The sequence below is a fragment of the Homo sapiens genome, chromosome 14, assembly GCF_000001405.40.
Source record: "Homo sapiens chromosome 14, GRCh38.p14 Primary Assembly".
NCBI lineage: Eukaryota > Metazoa > Chordata > Mammalia > Primates > Hominidae > Homo > Homo sapiens.
In genome coordinates this window covers 75,262,204-75,289,485 of record NC_000014.9, presented here as the reverse complement: position 1 = coordinate 75,289,485, position 27,282 = coordinate 75,262,204, and the positions used below count along the sequence as shown (strand labels likewise).

Here is a 27,282-nt window from a genome sequence, read left to right as displayed (position 1 = left end):
TTTTTTTTTCTGAGATGGAGTTTCGCTCTTGTTGCCCAGGCTGGAGTGCAATGGCGCCATCTCAGCTCACTGCAACCTCTGCCTCCCAGGCGCAAGCAACTCTCCTGCCTCAGCCTCCCAAGTAGCTGGGATTACAGGTCCCACCACCACGCCCAGCTAATTTTTGTATTTTTAGTAGAGATGGAGTTTCAACATGTTGGCCAGGCCGGTCTTGAACTCCTGACCTCAGGTGATCCACCCACCTCGGCGTCCCAAAGTGCTGGGATTACCGGCGTGAGCCACTGTGCCCAGCCAAAAACAACTAACCCTTCTATCATACTTCTGTGTGCCCAGATGCTGTGATATTCAGTCTATACATACCAACTTATTTAATGTCCACAACAACCCCAAGAAGTGGATACAATTATTATCCCCATCTTACAGGAGGGAAAACTAAGGAGCAGAGAGGTTAAATAACTTACCCAAAGTCTAGGAGTGAGGATTCAGGGCTAAGTCTATGCTTTGGACCACTCTGCTAAATTGGATCCAATTCTTGCCTGGGTGCGGTGGCTCACGCCTGTAATCCCAGCACTTTGGGAGCCCAAGGCAGACGGATCATTTGAGGTCAGGAGTTCGAGACCAGCCTGGGAAACATGGTGAAACCCCATCTCTACTAAAATTACAAAAAGTCACCAGGCATGGTGGCATGCGCCTGTAATACCAGCTACTCAGGAGGCTGAGGCAGGAGAACCGCTTGAATCCAGGAGGCAGAGGTTGCAATGAGCCGAGATTGTGCCACTGCACTCCAGCCTGGATGACAGAATGAGATACTGTCTCAATACATAAATACATACATACATACATACATTGGATCCAATTCCCCAAATTTAGATCAATATATTATATTGTTTTGATAAATTTAGCTGTGATGATAGTCACATCACTGACAAAAAGCCTAAAAACAAATCATTGCTTCCATAGATTTGACCAAAAATTGTTCCCCAAAGTAAGCATGGCGGCAACTGGAGACTGGGTCACTTACATTTAGCACGAAGGTATTTCGTTTTGCTCAGTCTAGACCCTTTAATAGGGGCCCCTTTGTATGGGTCTGCTTCTAACATAACCAACAATTAAACCCGTGCGGGTTCCCAGCCCTCCCAGTCACCTGACTGTACCAAACCCAATCACCTTGAGCTGAAAGGGAAAAGGGCTTATTAAGAAGAGCTGGCTGGGCTCGGTGGCTCATGCCTGTAATCCCAGCACTTTGGGAGGCTGAGACCGGCGGATCACCTGAGGTCAGCAGTTGGAGACCAACCTGGGCAACATGGTGAAACCCCATCTCTACAACAATACAAAAATTAGCCAGGCATGATAGCAGTTGCCTGGAATCCCAGCTACTCTGGTGGCTGAGACGGGAGTGAGGCAGGACAATCGCTTGAACTCAGGAGGCAGAGGTTGCAGTGAGCCAGCCTGGGTGACAGAGTGAGACTCCGTCTCAGAAAAAAAAAAATGGAGAGCTGATGGCCATAAGGCCAGGCAGGCTCCAGAGCCCTTACTGCTCTGTGTCCTCTTAAGCAACTGAAGAATGCTTGGGCAAAGGAAAGGCAACTTAGTTTAGTCCAAAAATAGATGTGTGGAACCACGAAAATAAATTGTGTTGCAACGGAACTGGTTTACGTTTCTGTTGCTTTCTCCCGCATGCAAAGGAAATGGAAATCTATCCAACCATCCCCCTTCAGAGACTTTGCACTGATTCCTCAGGATTCAATGTACCCTATTTCTACCTGCTTCTCCTCAGGTCTGGGCATATTCTTGGCAAATGATAATTATGATGATGATGTTGATGTGATAATAATGATAGTAGCTAACCCTTATTCTTCTATTTTAATGCAGACTAAATTATAGGTTTTACCATTTAGCACACTGATTGCTAGGAACCATTGAACTCAAATGGGATTTTTGTGATAGTCTGAAAGTTTTATAGCAGTAAGAGTGAAAAACATAATTTTGTTTGTTTCTTTGAAAATGATTATATCTAAATTTATATATGCATTCATTCTGCATTTAATAGCGAAACAATTTCTCAACCTATAATTAGCCTAGAAGTGTCACTGACCTACAGCTTACTTGTATTTTTTGTACCCCTTAAAATTCTTTCCCAAGCTAGCTAGCTCCTCATCTTAATATTGTAGAATCCTCGAAGGCAATTTTTTTAAACAAATGGGCATACTCTTCTACCCTGAAAAAAATCTGTGAAGTATATAGTTTATCTTCACTTTAAGTTCTAGCTATGTCCCTGTCAATATTTTTGTAATTTTCATCTGCATTCATTCACTCATTCATCTTCTTTATTCAACATGCACTTGAGGGCCTAATAGACACTAGAGATACAAATGTGATCAAGACAGAAAAGGTTCCCGCTCACATGGAACTTACAGTTCAGGGATAAGAGACAGACAATTTTCTTTTTTTTTTGAGACAGGGTCTTGCTCTGTCACCCAGGTTAGAGTGCATTGGCACGATCTTGGCTCACTGCAACCTACACCTCCTGGGTTCAAGCGATTCTCCTGCCTAAGCCTCCTGAGTAGCTGGGATTACAGGTGCACACCACCCACCCCCAGCTAATTTTTGCATTTTTAGTAGAGACAGGGTTTTGCCATGTTGGCCAGGCTGGTCTCGAACTCTTGACCTCAGGTAATCCGCCCACCTAGGTCTCCCAAAGTGCTGGGATTACAGGCGTGAGCTACTGCACCCGATGAGACAGACAATTTTTTAAAAGGAAAATAACACATAAATTAGATATTGCAAGTAGGGATACAGGCTGTGAAAAAACAAAGCAGGATAACTAAATAGAGAGTCCTAGGGAGCAAGTATGTCCCGAAGTCACCCTAGATAGAATGACCAGGGAAAGCCCCTTGGAGGACATGTCCTTTGAGCAGAGTCCCAAATGACAGGATGCCGCCAGCCTGGGGCAAGAGGCCCCGGCAGAGGGACTGCAAGTGCAGAGGCCCTGCTGCAGGAGTACGTGTTCTATGTGCCAGGAGTGGAAGGAAGGCTCGTGAGCAGAGTGCCTGTAGGGAAGAAGGAAAAGAGATAGAGTGGGAGAGGAATTAAAAGTCAACTTTTTTTTTTTTTTTTGGTGGAGGGGTGGTGTTTAGGAGTAGAGGTTTAATAAGCAAAAGAAAGAGAAAGGAGAATAACTCTCTCTTCAGTAGAGAGACAGGGGACCCTGAGTGAGACTTCCTAAAAGTCAACTCTTTAATATTAATAGGAAAACAGCACAATTTAAAGCATTCTGCTATTCAGCATTCAAGTGAGGCTCATATCTCTTTTTTTTTTTTTTTTTTTTTTTTTGAGGAGTTTGGTTACTCTGTTTGGAATGAGTCTCATACACCATTTAGAGATCAATTTTGTTTTAGCTTTTTTTCAACTGTAAAAACATTGAAACTTTAGACGATTACCTCAAGATAATCAACTGAGAACTTTTACTGTGCCTCAATTTTTTTTTGTCCGTTAATTAAAGATAGCATAATTGATTTACTTTCATTCACACATGGGAATTGCTGTTGATACAAAATTACTGTTATTAGAACAAATTGTTAAATCCTACCCTTTAATTTTGATAATTACACAAGATGCAGTGATGTGCAAAGATGATGCAGAATCTACAATCCACTATTCTACAGAGATAAATATTTTTCCTCTTCCCTCTTCCCATTGAAAATTAATTTGGAGCCAGAAGCCCAATGGCAGCTTTGAAGTTGAATTGGCAGAGGTCATCCAGGAAGACAGTGAAGGAATTCCAGGAGGCAAGGATGGGAATGGGGTATATTTTTGCAGCCAGACATAAAAGATGTAAAATTCCCATTGCTTAATATACTAACAGGGACCAGGAGAGGAGAAGTTAAAGAATATGTGTGGAATATATTTCTGTGTATGGAAATAGCACAGAATTTATTCATCCACTGGGCAAAATATTAATTAACCTTGTACCATGTGCCAGGCACTGAGCCAGTTCTGGGGATCCTGGTGAGCTAAACTGGACATAATCCCCATGAGGAAATGACTTCTGCCTCTATCCCCTTCAATTATATGTATATGTCTTTAGCAATGTTGAATAGTGGTGCCCTCTGGTAGTTGTTTTCTTTTTTGTTTGTTTTTTGTTTTTTTGAGACAGAGTTTCACGCTTGTCACCCAGGCTGGAGTGCAATGGCATGATCTCAGCTCACTGCAAGCTCCGCCTCCCAGGTTCATGCCATTCTCCTACCTCAGCCTCCCGAGTAGCTGGGATTACAGGTGCCCGCCACCACACCCAGCTAATTTTTTTGTATTTTTAGTAAAGACGGGGTTTCACTATGTTGGCCAGGCTGGTTTCGAACTCCTGACCTCAGGCGATCCACCCACCTTGGCCTCCCAAAGTGTTGGGATTACAGGTGTGAGCCACCGCGCCTGGCAGGTAGTTGTTTTATTGAGATTAGCATGAGGCCATAGCTTGTGGGTAGGAATCCGACAAAGTCTTTTTCAAAAGAAAGTTGAAGGCCAGGTATGGTGGCTCACATCTGTAATCCCAGCACTTTGGGGACCAAGGTTGGGGGGATCACTTGAGGTCAGGAGTTCGAGGCCAGCCTGGCCAACATGGTGAAACCCTGTCTCTACTAAAAATACAAAAATTAGCCAGGAGTGGTGGCAGTTGCCTGTAATTCCAGCTACTCAGGAGGCTGAGGCAGGAGAATCACTTGAAGCCGGGAGGCGGAGGTTGAAGTGAGCCGAGATGGCAGCAGAGCGAGACCCTGCCTAAAAAACAAAAAAAATAAACAAAAAACAAAAACAAAAAATTTCCCAGAGTTAATAATCCCTGAGAGTTGTCCAGTCCTGAGTGAGTAAAAGGGATTTGGAAGGAGCCATTTAGCTGGAGAAAGGAGGAAGGAATTTCTTCTCTCAAGCCCATGAAAGTGGTCAGCAGGAAGCTTGGTGGGATGTCAACCCTGGGGATCCGATGGTCTCTGATTTCCTCTTTCTGGACCTTTAACGCCATCTTGATGTAGCAGCCTGGTCTCCACTGGGCTGTGCAATAAGCTAGAGCAAGGGTCTGTGTCTGGGCCTTGGCCAGGGCTGTCAAAGGGAAAGCAATGCTCACCCTCTAGAGTAAGCATGGGGCTGACAGGGACCATGATTGAGGTCCCCAGGAGCAGGTCAATGTCCGAAGGTCCAGCTGCCCTTCTTCATCTGGGAAATCGTCTTCCTTTTCTTCCTCTGGTTGTTATTATTGCACACCTACAGGAACCAGCTGGGTTCCTTTTTTTTTTTTTTTTTTTTTTTGAGATAGGGTTTTGCTGTGTCACCCAGGCTGGAGTGCAGTGGTGGTGCAATATCAGTTCTCTGCAACCTCCCCCTCCCAGGCTCAAGTCATACTCCTGCCTCAGCCTCCTGAGTAGTGTAGCTGGGACAACAGAAGCACACTGGGTTTTGCCATGTTGCCCAGGCTGGTCTCAAACTCCTGGACTCCAGTGATCCTCCTGTCTCAGCCTCCCAAAGTGCTGGAATTACAGGTGTGAGCCACCGCTCCTGGCCCACCAGCTGGGTTCCTTACAGGGTAGATCACCTTGTTATTTCAGACCAGGTGTTTGTTAGTTATATTAATTCTGTATTTAGTTTAGGTATATTTAAAGGCTATAAAATATTTGCCCTTTGAACAGCAAACAGGGATCCTAAGGCCACTGTCATCACAAGTCTAGCAGAAACAGCACCCCAAGTGGTGTGTGATATAGGAGTGATCTAAAGAGCGGTAAGTTGCTTTTAAATGTCCATTTTTATGGGAGGGGCAGAGATATCATAGACGAGAACATCAACCTCAGTAAAACTGTCATTTTGAATTAAAACTTTTAACTCGGTTGAATATGACACCCCATAAGCACCCAGTGATTTTCATTATCACCAAAGCATTAGAAGACTGGCGCTGAAGCTCTTCTTCCACCCAGTGTGTGTGAAAACATAGTGCATGGTGCCTGCATGATACTCGCGAGCAGAGGCAGAAGGGCGGTCTCCTTTCCCTGTGGTTTGTACGTGTGCATGTGTGTGTAAGTGCCCCATTACCAGAGACGTCCCGGACAAAGGTCACGTTCTTCCTTAAGATGATAAAGTTTCTAAGTTAAAGCTTGTTCAGAGTCATGTTGACTTCTCCTTCTTGAGCTATTATGTAACTTTTTGTTTGCAGAACGATCAGCCATTATTTGTGCTGTTTGAGATATCTTTTGATTTCTGAGCAACTTTTTCTCCCCCACTTCCGCCCACTATAAACTGAATGAAGGGCATATGGTATTAGAGAAACCAGAAACCACAATGCATTTATTAATAAGGGATAGGGCAATAGCCCTCCTTCCCTTTCGAGAATAAAAGAGTACAAAAAAATGTACACATTAGTGAAAACTTTTTTTTTTAAACAGAGTTTCAATCTTGTTGCCCAGGCTGGAGTGCAATGGCGCAATCTCAGTTCGCTGCAACATCCGCCTCCCGAGTTCAAGTGATTTTCCTGTCTCAGCCTCTCAAGTAGCTAGGATTACAGGCATGCACCACCACACCAGGCTAATTTTGTATTTTTAGTAAAGACGGGGTTTCTCCATGTTGGTCAGGCTGGTCTCGAACTCCCGACCTCAGGTGATCCGCCTGCCTCGGCCTCCCAAAGTGCTAGGATTACAGGCATGGGCCACCGCGCCCGGCCTGAAAATTTTTTTTAACCAAGTATCAAGAGGCAGTTCAGCCTGCTGGATACGATAACGAGCAGGAAGATTCTAATGCCGATAACGGAATATCAAGAAAGTTGTTTATTCTAACCATTCTTCAATTTGCTCATCTTTGAAGTAGAATAACCCTCCACGTGATTTTGTGAGAATAAAAAGTTAAAATAGTCTGTACAAAGCTAGGTTCTGTTTGCTTAAAGGGTTCCTTTAAGATCAAAACATCTGAATTTAATATTAGCACAACAAAATTTAAATATTTCCCCCTGCGAGTACTGAAACAGAAAAAATGTATTCCCACAAAAGCTGTTACACAGCGGTTTCCCGTCCCCAGAAGCAGTAGAAAATCTTAGCATTCCAATGGAAGGCATGTATTTGTAAAATATTCTAAAATCAGCTCTATAGTTTCCTTGTCCTCTTTGATAAGGGATCAGACAGAGGGTGTGTCCCCCTCCAGCAGCTACCCTTCTTGACAAACTGGTCTCCAATAATACCTTTCAGAAACTTACAAGACTTCCAGAATGAAAAGAGCACAAGGTTGGTCGCATTCAACTTAAATGCTTTTATTGACAATGTCTTGGAACAATAAGCAAACAATGCTTAAATTTTTCATTCAAATTCACTTTCCACATGTCAAAAGACCTCAAGGTAGAAAAAAATAAAATAAAAATATAAATATCTGAGAATCCATCTTAATAAATAAATTAAAAACACAATAAAACGTTTTCATGGAAAACTGTTAATGTCAGAACATTCAGACCACCTCAACAATGCATGATCAGTAACATTACAATGAACATTGATGTTGAAGAAAAACTACAGTACATGGATATAGCTATTTATTTCTATCTACCAGAAAATAAAGTCGTATCTTTTCTTAGTATAATATTGGTCATTTCTAATCAGAACACACTATTGCCAGGAACACAGTAGTTATTGTTAAAATCAGCTGCACTAGATACAATTTGAAAATATCCAGCACCAGGTTAATTCCAATAATGAACCCAATAGATTAGTTAATGCTATGAGAAGACTAAGGAGAAAGAGAAAAGAGACACAGACCCAGGCCTGGCTCAACATGCTACTAACTACCAGCTCTCTGAAGTGTCACTGGGAACAATACACACTCCATGCGTTTTGCTACATCTCCGGAAGAGGTAAGGACTTGAGTCCACACATGGATGCTTTCAAGTCCTTGAGGCCCACAGCCTGGTGTGTTTCACGCACAGATAAGGTCCTCCCTAGGTCTACAGGAACCCTCTAGGGAAGATGTGTTTCTCCTCTCTGTAATGCACCAGCTCGGGCAGTGGCACTTGTGGGTGCCGGCTGCCTCCCCTTCCCTGCCCCCTCACAGGGCCAGCAGCGTGGGTGAGCTGAGCGAGTCAGAGGAAGGCTCATTGCTGCTGCTGCCCTTGCGGTGGGCAGCTGCACAGCTGGGGAAGGAGTCAGCCTCGGGGTAGGTGAAGACGAAGGAAGACGTGTAAGCAGTGCAGCTGGGAGTACAGGTGACCACCGGAGTGCACAGGGGCTCCAGCTCTGTGGCCATGGGCCCCATCCCCAGGGAGCCACTGTGCAGAGGCTCCCAGTCTGCTGCATAGAAGGACCCAGATAGGTCCATGTCTGGCACGGAGCGGGCTGTCTCAGAGCCACTGGGCCTGGATGATGCTGGGAACAGGAAGTCATCAAAGGGCTCGGTCTTCAGCTCCATGCTGCTGATGCTCTTGACAGGTTCCACTGAGGGCTTGGGCTCAGGGTCATTGAGGAGAGGCAGGGTGAAGGCCTCCTCAGACTCCGGGGTGGCAACCTCTGGCAGGCCCCCAGTCAGATCAAGGGAAGCCACAGACATCTCTTCTGGGAAGCCCAGGTCATCAGGGATCTTGCAGGCAGGTCGGTGAGCTGCCAGGATGAACTCTAGTTTTTCCTTCTCCTTCAGCAGGTTGGCAATCTCGGTCTGCAAAGCAGACTTCTCATCTTCTAGTTGGTCTGTCTCCTGTATACAGAGGGATAAAGGAAAGCATAAGACACAGTCTTACTCAAGGGCCCTTATGCTCAATCTCCAACTTTCCCCTTAAGTTTTAAAAAGGAGCAACCCACAGAGTACCTACCGCTTGGAGTGTATCAGTCAGCTCCCTCCTCCGGTTGCGGCATTTGGCTGCAGCCATCTTATTCCTTTCCCTTCGGATTCTCCTTTTCTCTTCTTCTTCTGGAGATAACTAGAATAATCACAAAAAAAGACCGACATTCAGTAAAAGTGTCTGCCATCACCTCCATTCACCCACCCCAGTAGAACTGGCTCCTGCAGCTTCCCTGCTTCCTGGCACCCCACTGTGAAACCATTTCTGACCTGCAGTTGCAGACTAGGTGTGACTTGCATTTAAAATAAGATCCTCAGCAAGAGAACAAAGAAGAGCCCAGTCTGAAAGCATGCGGTAAGAAACTTAGGGAAGAAACTATGAGAGTACTTCTTAGGGTGAGACTCAGAGTCTGAGTTGGGATGGAATGGGCTTGGAGCCAGGGCTCCCAGTTACGGATGTGCAGCCAGCCCCATCAGTGGCTTCATCCTCTGTACTGGGCTCCTGCATCTCCGGGGCTGCTTCCCACCCAGCCCCCACATTCCCAGGAAGAGTACGCTAGAGTTCCTCACCTGTTCCACCTTGCCCCTCCTGCCAATGCTCTGCGCTCGGCCTCCTGTCATGGTCTTCACAACGCCAGCCCTGGAGTAAGCCCCAGCGGAGGGGGCGGGGACTCCGAAAGGGTGAGGGGCTCTGGTCTGCGATGGGGCCACGGAGGAGACGAGGGCGGGCTGCACCAGCCACTGCAGGTCCGGACTGGTCGAGATGGCAGTGACCGTGGGAATGAAGTTGGCACTGGAGACGGCCAGGTCCGTGCAGAAGTCCTAGAACAAAACAGAAGGGGAAAGCCGACGTGAGCGAGCAGGTTCCGGACACAGGTGGGGCGAGTTCCCAGTGCCGCATGCAGCAGTGAAGAGAAACGATCCTGCCACGGACATTTCATCTTAAATGTCCCTCATCCTGGATGAAAGGTCTCCCCCTTTTCCTCCCAGGCATTCCGCAGCGCAGTGCCTGTCTCTTCCATCCTGCCGCTGCGTTCCCGTTATCCCTTCAGCATCACTTGCTTGAAAGGGGGTTTGTTATAAATATCCCTGACGTCTGCGCTGACGCAGGCGCCGCTCCGGAGTCTCCAGAATGAACTCGCTTTTTATCAATGAAACTGCCTTACACACCCGCCCGCTGCACCCTCCTCCCTCATCCCTCCTCCGTGCTCCAGGCTGCCGGGGGAGGGGGGATTGCCGCTTTCTGCCACCTCCCCGGAGAAGCCAGGCTCTAGTTAGCGAGTTTGTGCTTGGGACACGTCTGCTCCAGCTAATGTCAGAGATCCGTCCTGGAGTGCAGACCAGAGGTTGCTCAGAACGAACCTGCCTCCCGAAGGGGGAACCAATTCTTACTATGGCAAGCGTGCGTGCGCTCAGAGCAAGTCCCGAGCCCCCGAGCCGGCACCGCTCCGGCCACGGCAGCCTCCCTCCAGGCACAAGGGAGCCCCCTACTCATCTACTGGAGCGTCCCGCCCGGTGTCTCCTCCTCCGCGACCCCAAGCCCCCGGCCCCGCGGCGACGGGAAGCCAGCCTTACCTGCGCGTTGACAGGCGAGCCCATGCTGGAGAAGGAGTCTGCGGGTGAGTGGTAGTAAGAGAGGCTATCCCCGGCCGGGGACGCGCTGCTGCAGCGGGAGGATGACGCCTCGTAGTCTGCGTTGAAGCCCGAGAACATCATCGTGGCGGTTAGGCAAAGCCGGGCGAGGGGCCGAGGGGCGGAGACAGGTGGGCGCTGTGGAGCAGAGCTGGGTAGGAGCACGGTCACTGCTCGTTCGCTGCGCCGCGGCCGCCGGCTCAGTCTTGGCTTCTCAGATGCTCGCTGCAGATGCGGTTGGAGTACGAGGCGCCGCAGCCACTGCTTTTATAACAAGCGTTTTATGAATGAGTGTAAACGTCACGGGCTCAACCACGGTGGCGCCAGAGGGGTGGCGCGCGGGCCTGGGCGCTTCTGCGGCCGCCCGGCTGCGTCCCCAGCGCTCGCAGCTCCCTGCCCCCGCCTTGGCGCGTGTCCTAATCTCGTGAGCATTTCGCAGTTCCTGTCTCAGAGGTCTCGTGGGCCCCCCAAGATGAGGGGTTTCGGGGATGGCTCCCCCCAGGGCTACAGGGAAAGGCCGTGGAAACCTGCTGACGCAGATGTCCTAATATGGACATCCTGTGTAAGGGGGGAGGGATTGACGGGAACTGCTCGCGGGCTGCAGCCAACACCGAGGGTGCAGTGCGGGGGGAGGCGGGGGCCGCGGCTGGGGGAGGGGAGGCGGGAACGGCGCAGAATGAGAGAGAACATTCGCACCTGGTTCAATGCGGACCCTTGTTCCCGAGGTCGGGGGGGATGGGGCAGAGAGCGCCTTTTTACCCTTGTACGGAAACTGAAGACAGTTCTGAGGCTCAGAGATAGGAGAAACGGCATCGAGTACAGGACCCCGAGGACTTAAGCCTCGGCTCCCGAAGGAATGCGCCCCTACCCCCATCCCCAATTCTAGCCCTAATTCAGTGCAAAGCGTGGAAGCAGACCTTCATCCCCTAACCTCCAGCCCTCGGGCTCGAGCAATACTAGCACTGTTCCTGCGTTTGGAAGCAGAAAGTGGAGGATCCAAAATAAGAGAATACGATAACCTACTTTACGATACTGGGTACTTTATTTATTTATTTTTTTAAAGAAGACAGCGCATTTATTTATTTATTTTTCTCGGCCATGTGTGGGAATATTAAGGAAACTGTCAAATCCCTGAGACACCAGCAGATAAACACTGTGCAAAACCTACGTGCGAAGACATTTGAAGGGGGTGTCTGCCCGGTTCTGAGCTGGGCCCCAGGGGTAGGGAGTGCGAGGTGTGGTTATGTGGGCAGGGTGGTCAGTTCGGGATGACAAGGCGGGGTGTGCTTCCTGCGGGGAACTCAAATCTGCGCTGAGGGCTGGTTCGGTCCCGCCAGGAAGCTGTGCTTACGGGAGCCCGCAGCGGGTGATTTTCCAGCGCGGACTTGGAGGGTGGAGGACGGGGGCTGGAAGGACAGTGTCCAGCTGCGCCTGGGCGGAATACCTCGACTGCTGGGACCCCAGGAGCGGCTCCACGTCCTGGAACACGGGGCTTTGGGGAGGCAAGGTGCTCCAGAGTGTGCCACGCCCCCCAATCTCCTGCCCTGCTGCGTAGGACAGCCGGGGTCACGCTGCCGGGGCTCAGCCCCAGCGCGCTGGCCACCTCCAGGGCGCGAAGACGCATGTCCCCGCACAGCCCCGGTCTTCCCTTCTCCACTCTTCGGGCCCGGGGGTCGGGGCCCGCGGTGGGCACCTGGAGAGGGGCGAGGCAGGATGAGGCCGGCGGGCGGATAGTTCGGGGCGCGCGGGGAGCCGGACCGCAGACCTGCCTCCAGCCGCCGCGCCCGGGAGCCAGGAGATCCTGCTATAGATAGTAACAGGGAAGCGGCTGTTTACAGCAACACAGCGCCGCCAGGGCCGTCTCCAGGCAACGCCGCGCGGCCGGGCGCGCCGTCGGCCTGGCGAGGCCACCCTCCCTCCCAGCTCCCCTGGGCCGCGGCCTCCCCGGCCCGGCCGCGGCCGCTCCCGTCGCCTGACATCATCCGCCGGGTCCGGGGGCTGAGCGGCCCGCGCGAGGCTGTGCGCTAACCTCCATTCTTAGAGATCCAACCCGGCAGGAGCGGGGAGGGCAGGAGGCGGGGATTCGTGGAACTGGGCCACTTGCTATTTTTGCATTCCCTGTCACAGGCAGAGGTGAAAACAGAATTTCATCATTGTATGTCATTGGTTTATGTTGGTGGGAATTTAGGCGCTTTTTTTTCTCACTCATAAAAAGGGAGGGAAACGGAAAAACACACATAATACGTAAACACAGATTCCTTGGAGCTGCTCTGAATCCTAAAGCAATTCTGCGGCCTTCGGTACTTCTAATTCTATCCTTGATTACAGAAAGAAAGAGGGGGACGGGAGGGAAAGGGGTTATGAAGCCAAATACATCTCTCTTATTATTAATATTAGCTTCAGACAAAATAGGTCAAGCTTTGAATTCCTGAGTCTGGCCATGACTGCCATTCACAACTAGATCTCAGGCCACTTAACAGGAAACCTGACTGGGTGCGGTGGCTCACTCCTGTAATTCCTGCACTTTGGGAGCCCGAGGCGGGTGGATCACTTGAGGCCAGGAGTTCGAGACCAGCTTGGCCATCATGGTGAAACTCTGTCCCTGCTAAAAATACAAAACAGCCGGGTGTGGTGGCGCACGCCTGTAGTCCCAGCTACTCAGGAGGCTGAGGCAGGAGAATTGCTTGAACCCGGGAGGCAGAGGTTCCTGTGAGCCGAGATCGTGCCACCGCACTCCAGCCTGGGCAACAGAGCAAGATTCTGTCTCCAAAAGAAAAGAAAAGAAAACCTAGAATGATTTGATTTACTTCCCTTTCAGGTCCAAAGCATCTCGGCCAATACCTAAAAGATGTGTCAAGATTTTATATCCAGGATTTATCTCAAATACACTTATCCTGCCTTTGCCAATTAAAAAAAAAAAAAAGAAGAAGGGTCTTTGAGTGAGCCTATTTCCTCCAGATAGCTTAACTCTTTCCTTCTGGCACCATTATGACCAGAGTTGGAGACTTACTAAATCCATCCTCTGGAAAGGACAAACTAAGTCCATCCTCTGGAAAGGACAAACCATTATTTAACAAATAATTTTGTTCAATTATTTATTTAACAAAACTATTGACTGGGCTGGAGGCTGGTGCTCACTGTAATGAAGAGGGTAGGCCTGTCCCGACCCTCAGAGAGATTCCAGTCTCATAGGAAGACCAACAAGTCAATCGAGCTTACAGGGTAGCAGTAAGTGGTTTGAAAGAGGTAAGAAAGGGGTGCCAGGCAACACAGAAGAAGGCTTGGAAACAGGTCCCAGAGGAGGTGACTGCAATACAGAGATGGGGCTCAGATCCTCTGTCCTCTGGATAATGGAATGATAAAGATTGAGTAAGGCCAGAGCATCATCCAGGCAAACCAAGTGCTCAACCAGAAGCCACAGTATAGGCCAATACAATCTCAGACTCCCTCTCCTGCCCCACTAACATCCGAACCTGTGATCATTCTAACATATTCTCACATCTCAATCTGCTCATGGTATCCATTTCAGGACTGCAAAATCACATTCTAAAAAGTGGAGCTCACACAAGGTAGCCTAAAAATGAAGACAAATCAGAACAAACATGTGAAATTATTTTTGCCATTTGCAGATCTGCAGGTCAGGGTGACTTTGAGACAGGTGCTTGTGTGCCTCCGTGAGCACGGCGCTGCCTTCCAACAGGGCAGGGATTTCATGCTCTGGACAAGTCTGAGCATATAAAACCAAAATGTGTGTAGTTCATGATTATCTATGTGCTGAGTTCCTCCTATCTGGGGATCCAAAAGTGAAAAGGAGGGTAGAATTCCACATCTGAATTTTAACCCAAATTGAAAAAAAATTCACTTTCCCTCTACAGTGTTTCCTCATCCGATAGACTTTTCCTACTTTGCACTCTCCCTGTGGCACTTGAAGGAGACCTGACCCCACACTTTTGAAGTCAGTGCACATTGTTTAGCCTGGTGTTATTGCAACATTAAGTGAAAGGCTGCTGTCTGTACCGCCTACGTAAATGCTGCCGCACACAGCCCATCCCCAGCATGCAGAAGTAGTTGTTTATTTGGGGAAGTCTGGTCTAGTGGTGAAGGGTTGTGGTCAAAGCACGGGACCAGAAGTCAGGAAGATGCATATACCGAAATCAACTTAGACTTGTTTGGTAACTTTTCGCCTTTGTCTTGTTCATGTGCTGATATTCACTTAGGATCTAGCACAGTGCCTGAAACATAGTAGGTGTTCAATAAATACCCCTTTTCTTTTTCTTTTTCTTTCTTTTTTTTGAGACAGGGTCTCACTCTGTTACCCAGGCTGGAGTGCAGTGGTGTGATTATAGCTCACTGCAGCCTTGAACTCCTAGGCTCAATGCCCCTACCTCAGCCTCCCAAGTAGCTAGGACCACAGGCACATACCACCATGCCCAGCTAATTTTTTATTTTTTGTAGAGATGGGGTCTCGCTATGTTGCCCAGGCTAGCCTTAAGCTCCTGGCCTCAAGTGATCCTCCCACCTCTGCCTCCCAAAGTGCCGAGATTACAGGCGTGAGCCACCAGGTCTGGCAATAAATATCTCTTGAATGGATGAATGAATGCATGTCCTCATCCAGCCAAGGTGAATGTAGACGGTTGTGCTTTTTGGGTACTTAGAAAGCAAATAGATAATGTTCTTTAAATCTTTGGAAAGGCTGAACAGGCTCTTTTATTCTGGGATATGAATAGGCAAAAATTGGGAAAGACAAAATTACAAGATGTTTGGGCTATTTTCAGCTGGTACAGCCTCTGTGTATAAAGAACACCCCAGTGGTTCATGATGAAAGATCAAACTTACCCTTGTTCCTGAGCCCCATGAGAAAGACAGCTAGTGCCCATATATAAATACCACATTGTCTGCAATGACAATGACCATGTTACCACTACCCTTTAATTTATTCATTCTAAATGTCTGGACCCAACAAGAGAAAGAGGCATTCCACAATTCCTGTGGGACTCACACACACGTGAGCCCAGTGAAGGGTCTTAGGAGGTCGAGGTTACTCATTCGATGGCTCAGACCGTGAGCAAAAAGATTGCCCCTATTTAGAACACTGGAGGCACAAGATTACCATGCCACCCCCCCCCCACACACACACACATGCCACTACTGCAACTAATTAGTACTAGAGATTTAGCCTCTTTGAGAAAAACTGTTTTTTCCTTCTGAACAACTCTTGGCTTTTTGACAGGAGAGGATGATTCAATGGGATCCCCGTCCTTCTGCTAATGTGAGCATTTAAACAAAGCTCTGTGTGGTCCCTGAGACATGCTCCATCTGGAGCTGAGGAAACTGGGGAACAGTGGCAGTGCCAAAGACAGGCACACTGCAGCCCAAGCCTGAAACATCTTTTGCAGCCACCAGCAGTATGGGAAACTGGTTCTGTCAGTGTTGCAGAATCTTGCTTTAGAAACAAGTGCTCCCTACCAGCAGACAAGCACAGCTTCTCCAGGCTGTCAGCTCCTCCGATGTCCTGAGCTGACCTTCTGCAGCTCCGGCGGACTTAGCTGCTGAAATTCCAAAGGAACCCCGTCGACGTCACTAAACCTACAGGACAAAAACACACCCCAAGAAACCTCAATTCCAGGGCTCCCATCCAATGAGAAAAATCTCATAATCACCATGTGCAGGGCCAGGGGTGGCTAGAAGAAGCTGCCACATGACGCGATTCGAGGTGTTAAGACATCTTCAGCAGAGGTCACACCATGTCATCCATGACCTTACTCTTACTCAACAAGACAAATCTTTTTTTTCTCTCTCTCTCCCTATACTGAAAAGTTGCAAAGGACAGATTTTATTTATTTATTTATTTTTTGAGACTGAGTCTCACTCTGTCGCCCAGGCTGGATTGCAGTAGCATGATCTCGGCTCACTGCAACCTCCACCTCCCCAGTTCAAGCGATTCTTGTGCCTCAGCCTCCCAAGTAGCTGGGATTACAGGCGCCCACCACCACGCCTGGCTAATTTTTGTATTTTTAGTAGAGATGGGGTTTCACCGTGTTGGCCAGACTGGTCTCGAACTCCTGACCTCAGGTGATCTGCCGGACTTGGCCTCCCAAAGTGCTGGGATTACAGGCATGAGCCACACCACCCGGCCACAAAGGACAGATCTTTAAAAGAGACATTGGCCATTGTAATGCCAAAGAAATTCCCCTTTCCCAAACCAGGAAAATACTGACTAGTATGTATGAATTCATTTAGGCTGCCCTCTGATCTAGAACTCGTAATTTCATCCTCAGATGTGACAACTTTTTGTCTTAGTTTAGTACATGATTGTGTTCCAAAAGAAAACTTTCTATTGTAACTCCCAGGTGAGGTCTGATTTCTCCACGGATGTTTTATTACTCTGGAGTACTGAGTTAGAGATTGATGGTGAAATTCCCAAAATGACTCTTCTGAAGAATTCCATCTTTAAACTCTGGCCCATCCCAGACTGTGAGGTAATCAGTTAGGACAAGGGCAGATTATACACTGGCAGAGTCTACTCTCCCACCTCGGGGGGCTCTGAATTAAATCAGAACACCAAACAGAACTGTTATCCCCCCAAACCTGTTTAGAGGTCAGTTTACAGAATGACACTTAGATAAAAATCTACACTTCTTATGAGGATTCCCAGTCCACAGGCTTCAGCCTCTGCCTTGCCTTCCAACCTTACCTTGAACCACTTTCCTGCACTCCACTCCAGCTACATTGGCCTTTCTCTCCCTCAAATATGCCAAGCTGCTTCTGCCTCTGGGCCTCTGTACCCACTCTTCCCTCTTCCTCACAGACCTTGACAAGTTGACTCTTCCTCCTGACCAACATCTGCTCAAATGTCACCTTCTCCAGGAAGCCCCTCCTGTCTTCCCCATCCATTGTTGCAAACTCCTTTGCCCTTCAGTCACTTTCTGTCATGTTACCTGGTTTTCTTTTCTATCTAGCACTTATCACTACATTACCCTGTCCATTTATGTACTGTTTCATTGCCATCGTCAACTAGTCCGTAAGCTCCACAAGAGCAGGGACCTTATCTGTCTTATTTAGCAGTTATCTATCCTCAGTACCATGCTTCCTGACACCAAGGCACTCAAATCCTTGTAGAATAAACGTATATTTTTATTTTTGTTTATTTATTTTTTTGAGACAGGGTCTCACTCTGTCACCCAGGCTAGGATGCGGTCGCTCACTGCAGCCTCGACCTCCTGGGCTCAGGCGATCATCTTGCCTCAGCCTCCCAAGTAGCTGGGACCACAGGCATGGGCCACCAAGCCCGGCTACTTTTTTTTATTATTTGTAGAGATGGGGTCTCACTATATTGTCCAGGCTGGTCTCGAACTCCTGGGCTCAAGCAATCCTCCCACTTTGGCCTCCCAAAGTATTGGGATTCTGGGCGTGAGCCACCGTGCCTGGCCTATGAATAAATGTTAAACAGAGGTTCATCAGTTATTGTCCTTGTGACGGAGAAGGCAGCATGGATTCCCTTTCTGGACAGAGAGCTTTGATGGGTGGTTTATTACCTCTATCCTTCTCAGGTTAGGAAACCAAAATCCTAGTCAGCAATTTCTTTTTTTTTTTTTTTTTTTGAGACAGAGTCTCGCTCTGTCGCCCAGGCTGGAATGCAGTCTGCAACCTCTGCCTCCCAGGTTCAAGCGATTCTCTTGCCTCAGCCTCCCGAGTAGCTGGGATTATAGGCATGTGCCACTATGCCCAGCTAATTTTTTTTTTTTTTTTTTTTTGAGACAGAGTCTTGCTCCGTTGCCGAGGCTGGAGTGCAGTGGCACCAGCTTGGCTCACTGCAACCTCCGACTCCTGGGTTCAAGCAATTATCCTGTCTCAGCCTCCTGAGTAGCTGGGATTACAGACAGGCACCACCACGCCTGGCTAATTTTTTGTATTTTTAGTAGAGACGGAGTTTCACCATGTTGGTCAAGCTGGTCTCAAACTCCTAACCTCAGGTGATCCACACGCCTCAGCCTCCCAAAGTGCTGGATTACAGGCGTGAGCCACCGCGCCTGGCCTAATTTTGTATTTTTAGTAGAGACAGGGTTTTTCCATGTTGGTCAGGCTGGTCTCGAACTCCTGACCTCAGGTGATCCGCCTGCCTGGGCCTCCCAAAGTGCTGGGATTACAGGCGTGAGCCACTATGCCCAGCCCCTAGTCAGCAATTTTCTTATCGGGCATAATTTAGATGCTTATAAACCCAAGGGGTATACCCATCCTTAGAACTACAAAGACCCATCACACCTGCTGTCTAAATGTTTCCACATAATCACTTCTTGGCCTTTTGGCTAAGATCAAGTGTAGTAAATGTTTCCACTACCTACCGCACAAGATCGTACGGGATGCTTTAGTTTTAAATCCACAACCACCCCACCCCAAAACAATGATTAGCACAATGAGAAACTTTACCTGAGGTTGGTTACACCCCAGATCCTTTCTTTTACACAAATTTAGCCTAATTCAAAATGAATTTTTTTTTTTTTTTTTTTTTTTTTTTTTTTTTGTCAGAGTCTCACTCTATCACCTAGGCTGGAGTGCAATGGCGCGATCTCGGCTCGCTGAAACCTCCGTCTCCTGGGTTCAAGCAATTCTCCTGCCTCAGCCTCCCAAGTAGCTGGGATTACAGGAGCACACCACCACGTCCTGCTAATTTTTTGTATTTTTATAGAGAAGAGATTTCGCCATGTTGGCCAGGCTGTTCTTGAACTCCTGACCTCAGGTGATCCACCCACCTCAGCCTCCCAAAATGCTGGGATTACAGGCATGAGCCACCATGCCCGGCCAAGAAACTTTTTAGAAAATATGTGTGCATAAAAGTAAAAATCTAACCAATTTTTAGTTTAAAAGTGCTGGCCACAGGGCCACAGTAAACATTTATGGCCCTAATAGTGAAATGATTATGGTGTCCTTTCAAGTAATTAAAAACAAAAGCAACACTGCGTTGTAAAATACATTTTTATTTAAAAAAGTAAAACTCATCCGGGTGCAGTGGCTCACGCCTGTAATCCCAGCACTTTGGGAGGCTGAGGGAGGCAGATCACTGGAGGTCAGGAGTTCAAGACCAGCCTGGCCAACATGGTGAAACCCCCGTCTCTACTAAAAACATAAAAAATTAGCCCAGTGTGATGGTGGGCACCTGTAATTCCAGCTACTTGGGAGGCTGAGGCAGGAGAATCGTTTGAACCCAGGAGGCAGAGGTTGCAGTGAGCTGAGATCGCGCCACTGTACTCCAGCCTGGGCGACAGAGCAAAACTGTCTCAATAAGTAAGTAAGTAAATAAATAAATAATAAATAAGGAAAACTCATAAGTATGCTGAAATAATGCCCGGATGTAAGTTCCATGAGGGAAAGAGACATTACTGTTTCCCCGTTGCCAGATCAGTGCCTGACACAATACTAAGCCTTCAGTCAATAGAATAATGAATACAGCTTTCTGATTTCTTTCTTGAATGCCCCCCACCCCTGCCCCAGAATGTGCTTAGTTGGTTTCTTGGGCAGCCCAGCAATGACTGGGCACGTGGCTGGGGCCAGGTCAGTATTTGTCAATTGTTTGGATCGCACAGAACTGTGCTCACATACCACAGGCTCAGCTGAGGCCAGCATATAGAACCTACAACAGGAGCTGATCTGGCAGCTATAAACAGAACACCACACACCTGCCGGCTTCAGATTGGTTAGCATAGAGGGCTGGGCTGGGCCCACAGGATTCTTCATTTAAATCATTTGGCAGAACCATTCTATTCCTTTCTCCAGATTCATCAGGTGGCTGGGAATACATCATGAGTTACCTGCCCAGAGGGTTTCTGCGGGTGAAGAATCTTTGCTTTCACCTGGACTTTGCTTGCAGTGAATGGGAAACTTCACAGCAGGTGAGGAATTGGGAGTTCCTTTGCTACTAGTACTTTGATATCCAAGGCAAGTTTGTTTGAACCTGGGGCTTCATCCAGCTGATGTCTGTCTGAGCTTAGAATTTGGAAAAGAAGGAAGTAAGAGGTTATGAAATAGGCTGGGGAAATGGAAGAAAAAAAAAAAAAGTTCTTCAACTAGCACTCTACTCATTGGCCCACGAAATCAACGGTTTCACCAAACAACAGCTCCAAGCCCCAGGTCATAATTTCTATACTTCTTACCCATTTCTGGCCCATATGGTAAAATGACCAGAGAATAATGCAGAAAGCTGAGGAATTTCAGATTAAGATGTTTTAGATTTACATTTAGATAAGAGCAGCCCTGAGGCATTTATTTCACACATCTAGTTTGAGATTAATTCAGTCGTATTCTTATCAGATATCTCTAGCCTGCTTTCTATTTTTCCATTGGTTTCAGAATTCTTTCCAGGAAAGAAATGACTTTCACATACCTCAAAATATTATTACCTTGTATAAGGGTCAGAAAAAAACCAATTACCTACAGTTACTTTGTATGGACGCTGCAAAGTTAATCCCTTCTTAACTCAAATTGTACAAAGTCAATTATCCTATTCCTTGCTACTCATTCATCACTTTTATTGAGCACCTACTATGTACCAGTCACTAGACTCCACAGTAAACAGGCAAGCTTCCTACCAACATGAAGCTTATAGTCCAGTAATGAATTAATAAGAAAACAAAAATGTCAGATAAAAGTAAGTAAGTGCTGGGCAGGTAATTTTTTTGTTTGTTTTTTGTTTTTTGAGACAAAGTCTTGCTCTGTCGCCCATGCTGGAGTGCAGTGGCACGATATTAGCTTACTACAACCTCTGCCTCACCAGTTCAAGTGATTCTCGTGCCTCAGCCTCCCGAGTAGCTGGGTCAACAGGTGTGCACCACCAAACCCAGCTAATTCTGGTATTTTTAGCAGAGACAGGGTTTCACCATGTTGGCCAGGCTAGTCTCGAACTCCTGACCTCAAGTGATCTGCCCACCTTGGCCTCCCAAAGTGCTGGGATTACAGGTGTGAGCCAACATGCCCAGCCTTGGGCAGGTAATTAAAATGGAAGAATATGTTGTGAAGAAGTGTGTTGCTACTTTGGACTGGGTAGAAGAAGGAGACAATTTCCATGAGAAGCAAATGATAGCAAGGAACTAGCCATGGAAGAACAAGGAGCAGGGTATTCAGGGCAGAGGAGATGCTTCCCAATGTAAGGTTATGTACTGAGAAACATAAGTGCCAATGCCCCCACACCTTTGAAACCAGCCGTCTTTGCAAGGTGCACCTCAAACCCTACTGCCTGACTTACCAACAGCAATCTCCTCCTCCCTCCAGATCTTTGGATCAGTGCTACTAAATGTAAAAAGTTCCCAGCTACTCCCAGCTCACTTTCCTCCCTAGCTGTCCCTACACTTCCAACAGGATATGGATAGTTGTATTTTATTCTCACTCAATTACAGCCCATCTAGATCCTTCTTATACGTAGCTCCACACTAATGTTGATGATTGGTAAGAACTCTCTCAAAAGCTTAGAGTCTTAAGTGAAATCACTGAAAAATAGTGAAGTAAATCACCGACACCAGGCTTGGAGGTCTTCCAGGGCCCTTTTTTACAGGAATTTGAAAACAGGCACATTCCATTGTGTCCTTTGTTAGAGAGCTGTTGACAATAAACAGAGTTCAGAATTTGTGCTGTAAAACAGCAAACAGTGAACAAACCAAGGCTTTCTCAAACAGGGCCCTACTTTCCTGGATTCTGCTGATCCTTACACAGGATTTAAGCCTGTATATTTGAGAAGTTTATGGGAAACTAGACTCTCAAAGCATTTGCTTCTCAAATTCTTTGTTATTTTGACTGCACTGGAGACTATTCCACAAGCCACTATCAGAATCCACCCATCTCTGGTTCCCGTAAATATTATGTCTACACAGAACTATGTGAACTATTTCTAAGCTAGAATATGAACCAGGGCTTGAAAGCTTGCTGGTGGAAATGACCTAAGAAGAGCTTTAAAACTTAAATTAGAGAAAATTCAGTAGCAAAGGAAAAGTGGGCTAAAGGATTATGTGCATGTTTGTAGCTCAGAAGCTAGTTCAACTCTCAAAGATTGATTATTCAGCCCACCCTAGATTATTTAAATCCAGCAGCAAATGTATGCTGACATATTTCTGGGGGCCCTAGGGTGACACTCACTAAGGCAAGTAAAAGAAGCTGAAGTCAATTCCCAGAGAGGTGATTCCTTTTTTTTTTTTTTTTTTTTTTGAGACGGAGTCTCGCTCTGTCACCCAGGCTGGAATGCAGTGGCATGATCTCAGCTCACTGCAACCTCTGCCTCTTAGGTTCAAGCAATTCTTCGTGCCTCAGCCTCCCAAGTAGCTGGGATTACAGGCGCACACCACCACACCTAGCTACAGAGAGGTCATTCCTAGCGTAGTTGGGACTGATTGTTCCAGGTAATGGGGACCAAGGGAAGCTGAGGTGGCAACTGCCAACTGTCAGTGATTCCTGAGAAGGCAAAAACTAGGCAGCTGCTGCCATGCATCCTGGAGCTGAGAACTAAATTCAATCTGATTGGGAATGTCTTTAAAAGAGAGGCAGGGTTGGGGGAGAGAGAGAGAGGCAGGATCTCCCTATATTGCCCAGGCTGGTCTTGAACTCCTGGGCTCAAGCAATCCTTCCACCTCCGCCTCCCAAAGTGCTGGGATTACAGGCATGAGCCACTGCACCCGGCCTGATTGCAAACTTCGGATGCAGGAATCTCCTCTCATCTTTGGCAGTCCTGTCCTCTAGAACGTTTGTGAAAAGGCATGGAACATGGAATTAAATATGAGCTACTAGCATTATACATATGTTCTCTGCCTCCACCTCCCACTCTTCGTCTCAGTTCAGCCTACTTTTTATCTAGATCTCAAACTTAAAATGTCACATCCACATAAAGGACTTTCCCCAGCAGCCAGGCTGAATTAGGAACCTTTTAGAAGCCCTCATTCCACCCTAGGCTTTTCATGATTAGCACTTACCACCATTTCTAGTAATACATTTATTTAGAAAGCATTTGGGCTAATTTCTAAAAATTAAGTTCCACAAGAGTAGGGATCTTTGTTTTATTCACTGATGTACCCCCAAGGAGTTAGAGAAGCCTGATCCTAATAGCTGTTAATTGTTGAATTAAATGAATTCATTTAATGTCTATCTCCCCACTCCAAGAAGGCAGACACCTTGCCTATTTTACTCATCAATGACTCTCTAGCCCCTAACACAGTATCTGGCATATAATAGCTGCTCAAAAAATACTTCTTGAATAAAGAGAAATAATGATAGCTAATATTTATTGAGTGCTTGCTCAGGAATTATGCGAAGTGCTTTACAAATATTGTTATGGTTTTTGTTGTTGTTTTGTTTTGAGACGGAGTCTCACTCTGTCACCCAGGCTGGAGTGCAGTGGCGCAATCTCAGCTCACTGCTACCTCCACCTCCCGGTTCAAGCGATTCTCCTGCCTCAGCCTCCTGAGTAGCTGGGATTACAGGTGCCCGCCACAATGCCTGGCTACTTTTTTTGAGATGGAGTCTCACTCTGTCACCCAGGCTGGAGTGCAGTGGCATGATCTCAGCTCACAGCAACCTCTGCCTCCCAGGTTTAAGCGATTCTCCTGCCTCAGCCTCCCGAGTAGCTGGGATCACAGGCACCCACCACCACACCCGGCTAATTTTGTATTTTTAGTAGAGACAAGGTTTCTCTATGTTGGTCAGGCTGGTCTCGAACTCTCAACCTCAGGTGATCTGCCCACCTCGCCCTCCCAAAGTGCTGGGATTACAGGTGTGAGCCACCATGCCCGGCCTACTTTTTGTATTTTTTTTAGTAGAGACAGGGTTTTACTATGTCGGCCAGGCTGGTCTCAAACTCCTGACCTCAAGGAATCCTCCTGCCTCGGTCTCCCAAAGTGCTGGGATCACAGGTGTCAGCCACCGCACCCAGCCTTGTTATGTTATTTAATATTCACCACGATTCAATGATGTAGGTATATTATTCCACTATTTTGGTTGAATAGGTTCAATAATTTTTTTTTTTAGTAGAGATGGGATCTCACTATGTTGCTCAGGCTGATCTCAAACTCCTGGCTCAAGCAAATTTTCCCACCCCAGCCTCCCAAAGTACTGGGATTACAGGCGTGAGCCACCACACCCAGCCAATTCAATATAATTTTTAAAATAATGATCTTATAATTTTCTAATCCACACCATATAATTGGGCTAAATATTTCCCCAGTGTAGTTGATAGTGCTCTGGTGACCTGCATAAGTAAATTTATTTCCCTAAGTACCTACCAGGGAATGACTAATAAGAGAGAAACTCAGGGCCAGGTGCAGTAGCTCACGCCTGTAATCCCAGCACTTTGGGAGGCCCAGGCGGGTGGATCACCTGAGGTCAGGAGTTTGAGACCAGGCTGACCAACATGGTGAAACCCCATCCCTACTAAAAATACAAAAATTAGCTGGGCATGATGGTACGTGCCTGTAGTCTCAGCTACTCGGGAGGCTGAGGCAGGAGAATCGCTTGAACCTGGGAGGCCGAGGTCGGCAGTGAGCCAAGATCGCACCATTGCACTCCAGCATGAGCAACAGAATGAGACTCCATCTCAAAAAAAAAGAGAGAAACTCAATCTCATGGGCCTTAATTATGCTAATGTTGCTTGGAATTAAAATATAGGCTCAGCTTCTAGAGACATTGGGCTTTGGAGAAAAATTTATCTATGTTGTGCTGGTTGCATTGGGTTCATATGCAACCACAGAAAATATAGAATGCTTCCAGTTTTGCTAGGGGACACTGGAGGCAGGAAAACAGTATGCGCCAAATCTTGCCCAAGATGCTGGTTAAACCTGCTTTGCCAGCGTCTCCTGTACCTACCTGGGACACCAGCTGGAAGGCAGGTTTGTTCCCTCCTCTGGGAGGAACCATGCCAGTCCCTAACACTCTGCCCCATCTGATCTGGCTAGATCAGGCTTTGGGAAGTCAACAATCCCACCTCGCCAGGTAAAACCAGAAGTGTTCAGGTGGTGCAGCATGGTCCCAGCAAGGAATGGACTCACTGAAAACAAACTGATCTGCCCAGAGTGGAAGTAATTCCAAGAGAATTATTCAAAGTATTATATTCCCCATATCAGAACCCATTCTGGTGAGATTATGTTACTCTCCTTTAACAAAGAAACTGGTGACCCAAAGAAGCATCGTGTGAGAAGTGGTCATCTTATCAGGAACATTAATTCTTGAGTTAAATTTTTACCTCTCCTTGATTTCTCTATCTGCTCTTTGTCACTGTCAGCACCACCCCATAAATACTGAAGAAGAAACAGGAGTGTCCAAGGTAAATAGGAAAAATAAAGACAAAGCAGGGAATTTGCATACAGCTACATATCTTTGATTTAAAAGGACTATCCTTCAGTTTTAAATAATGTCCTTTTTTTTTTTTTTTTTGAGACAGAGCCTTGCTCTGTCATGCAGGCTGCAGGCTGGAGTGCAGTGGTGCGATCTTGACTCACTACAACCTCTTCCTCCCACTTTCAAGTGATTCTCCTGCCTCAGTCTCCCAAGTAGCTGGGATTACAGGCGTGCACCACCACGCCCGGCTACTTTTTGTATTTTTAGTAGAGGTGGGGTTTCTCCATGTTGGCCAGGCTGGTCTCGAACTCCTGACCTCAGATGATCCACCTGCCTAAGCCTCCCAAAGTGCTGGGATTGCAGGTGTGTACCACCGTACCCAGCCAGATAATGTCCTTTTGACTTTTTTAGTGTTAAAATGTCTTCTCATTTATGAAATGATAGTGATAATAAGTAGTAATTGTTGTTCGGTAAAATTCAAAGTTGGCAACCCATGTCAATTCCCAAACTTGTAAAAAAAACTTTGCTTGCCCCTATAGTATATGGGAGTCTCTGGATGACTGCAGTGGTGTCTTCGGAGGTTTTAGGTGAGGATGGGGAGAAGCATTTCCCCCCTCATCTGTGAGTGGAACTACGGGTCTGCTGGGTGGGTTCCGAGGGTCCTGTGTCAGCAACTGGTACACCATGAAGGTTGACTTTGACTAAAATGAATAATCTCTAGGATTCCAGCATCTCATTTCTCAGACCTACCCAAGAGCCCAGTGCACCTGTCTGGTGCCATCTCACCTGTCGGGGAGGAACATGTCTGGTAATGTAATTTACATTAAATTTCAGGAGCCTACTGCTCACAAGAGAATTTGTCTTTTAAGAGTAGGACCCAAAGGGAATGGCAAATGCTTAATCCAAAGAAATATATTGCTGATGATGGAATTTTAGGGACAGTGAGGGAGCATTCCTTGGCATAGGGCATATCAAATCACATAGATGGGCATTTATCCAGTCTCTCTATGAATTACATCTCTTGACACTTGACCTTGACACTGCTCCATTTACAGACCACCTCATCTTGCAGAATATTTTTAAACTTTAAAATACCCTCTGACTTACGGTTTTTGAAGCCCTTCCACAAGCATGACCTAGTATGACCCTCCTAACAGTCCCGAGAGGTAAGGAGGCCAGGTAGCAACATCTCCTTTTTTTTTTTAGAAGGAATTTCGCTCTTGTTGCCCAAGCTGGAGTGCAATGGTGCAATCTTGGCTCACTGCAACCTCCACCTCCGGGGTTCAAGCAATTCTCCTGCCTCAGCCTCCCAAGTAGCTGGGATTATAGGCATGTGCCACCACACCTGGCTAATTTTTTGTATTTTTAGTAGAAATGGGGTTTCACCATGTTAGCCAGCATGAGTGGAAGAGTGAATTCTATCATGGCTGAGATGTGAAGGAGGATAGTGTGAACCTGGGCCTTGAAAGGCCAGGTAGGTCACAGCTCCTACACATCCTGGCCTGGGCCAAGGCCTCTTCTTTGCCAGGGAAACCTGGCAAGTGGAGGCTTCACTCAGCA

The 27,282-nt window shown here is 47.1% G+C and overlaps 1 protein-coding gene and 1 pseudogene across 1 annotated transcript, besides 9 other annotated features; one reads left to right on the top strand and one right to left on the bottom strand.

The window, feature by feature from the left end:
* Positions 157-341: a silencer, noted in NCBI's record as "fragment chr14:75755848-75756032 (GRCh37/hg19 assembly coordinates)". NCBI's record gives its function as "represses an EF-1alpha promoter that drives an FKBP-Casp9 reporter gene in an ReSE screen in K562 erythroleukemia cells {active_cell/tissue: K562}" and the evidence as "EXISTENCE:reporter gene assay evidence [ECO:0000049][PMID:32094911]".
* FOS (Fos proto-oncogene, AP-1 transcription factor subunit) lies at positions 7,256-10,658 on the bottom strand. The gene is made up of 4 exons (NM_005252.4): positions 10,363-10,658; positions 9,358-9,609; positions 8,819-8,926; positions 7,256-8,703 (listed from the first exon to the last, which is right to left on the bottom strand). The coding sequence occupies exons 1-4, from the start codon at positions 10,501-10,503 to the stop codon at positions 8,062-8,064; spliced, it is 1,143 nt and encodes a 380-aa protein (NP_005243.1). The 5' UTR covers positions 10,504-10,658; the 3' UTR covers positions 7,256-8,061.
* Positions 7,669-8,228: an enhancer, noted in NCBI's record as "H3K4me1 hESC enhancer chr14:75747961-75748520 (GRCh37/hg19 assembly coordinates)". NCBI's record gives its function as "activates a minimal SCP1, AML or CMV promoter by ChIP-STARR-seq in primed H9 embryonic stem cells {active_cell/tissue: H9 hESC(primed)}" and the evidence as "EXISTENCE:reporter gene assay evidence [ECO:0000049][PMID:30033119]".
* Positions 8,229-8,788: an enhancer, noted in NCBI's record as "H3K4me1 hESC enhancer chr14:75747401-75747960 (GRCh37/hg19 assembly coordinates)". NCBI's record gives its function as "activates a minimal SCP1, AML or CMV promoter by ChIP-STARR-seq in primed H9 embryonic stem cells {active_cell/tissue: H9 hESC(primed)}" and the evidence as "EXISTENCE:reporter gene assay evidence [ECO:0000049][PMID:30033119]".
* Positions 8,815-9,740: an enhancer, noted in NCBI's record as "NANOG-H3K27ac-H3K4me1 hESC enhancer chr14:75746449-75747374 (GRCh37/hg19 assembly coordinates)". NCBI's record gives its function as "activates a minimal SCP1, AML or CMV promoter by ChIP-STARR-seq in naive H9 embryonic stem cells {active_cell/tissue: H9 hESC(naive)}" and the evidence as "EXISTENCE:reporter gene assay evidence [ECO:0000049][PMID:30033119]".
* Positions 9,741-10,668: an enhancer, noted in NCBI's record as "NANOG-H3K27ac-H3K4me1 hESC enhancer chr14:75745521-75746448 (GRCh37/hg19 assembly coordinates)". NCBI's record gives its function as "activates a minimal SCP1, AML or CMV promoter by ChIP-STARR-seq in naive H9 embryonic stem cells {active_cell/tissue: H9 hESC(naive)}" and the evidence as "EXISTENCE:reporter gene assay evidence [ECO:0000049][PMID:30033119]".
* Positions 10,327-10,386: an enhancer, noted in NCBI's record as "active region_8742". NCBI's record gives its function as "activates an Ori minimal core promoter by ATAC-STARR-seq in GM12878 lymphoblastoid cells {active_cell/tissue: GM12878}" and the evidence as "EXISTENCE:reporter gene assay evidence [ECO:0000049][PMID:35858748]".
* Positions 10,757-10,816: a silencer, noted in NCBI's record as "silent region_5943". NCBI's record gives its function as "represses an Ori minimal core promoter by ATAC-STARR-seq in GM12878 lymphoblastoid cells {active_cell/tissue: GM12878}" and the evidence as "EXISTENCE:reporter gene assay evidence [ECO:0000049][PMID:35858748]".
* Positions 11,167-11,256: a silencer, noted in NCBI's record as "silent region_5942". NCBI's record gives its function as "represses an Ori minimal core promoter by ATAC-STARR-seq in GM12878 lymphoblastoid cells {active_cell/tissue: GM12878}" and the evidence as "EXISTENCE:reporter gene assay evidence [ECO:0000049][PMID:35858748]".
* Positions 11,985-12,494: a silencer, noted in NCBI's record as "silent region_5941". NCBI's record gives its function as "represses an Ori minimal core promoter by ATAC-STARR-seq in GM12878 lymphoblastoid cells {active_cell/tissue: GM12878}" and the evidence as "EXISTENCE:reporter gene assay evidence [ECO:0000049][PMID:35858748]".
* On the top strand, positions 18,706-18,811 carry LOC124903434 (uncharacterized; annotated as a pseudogene).
* The last annotated feature ends 8,471 nt before the right edge of the window (positions 18,812-27,282 follow it).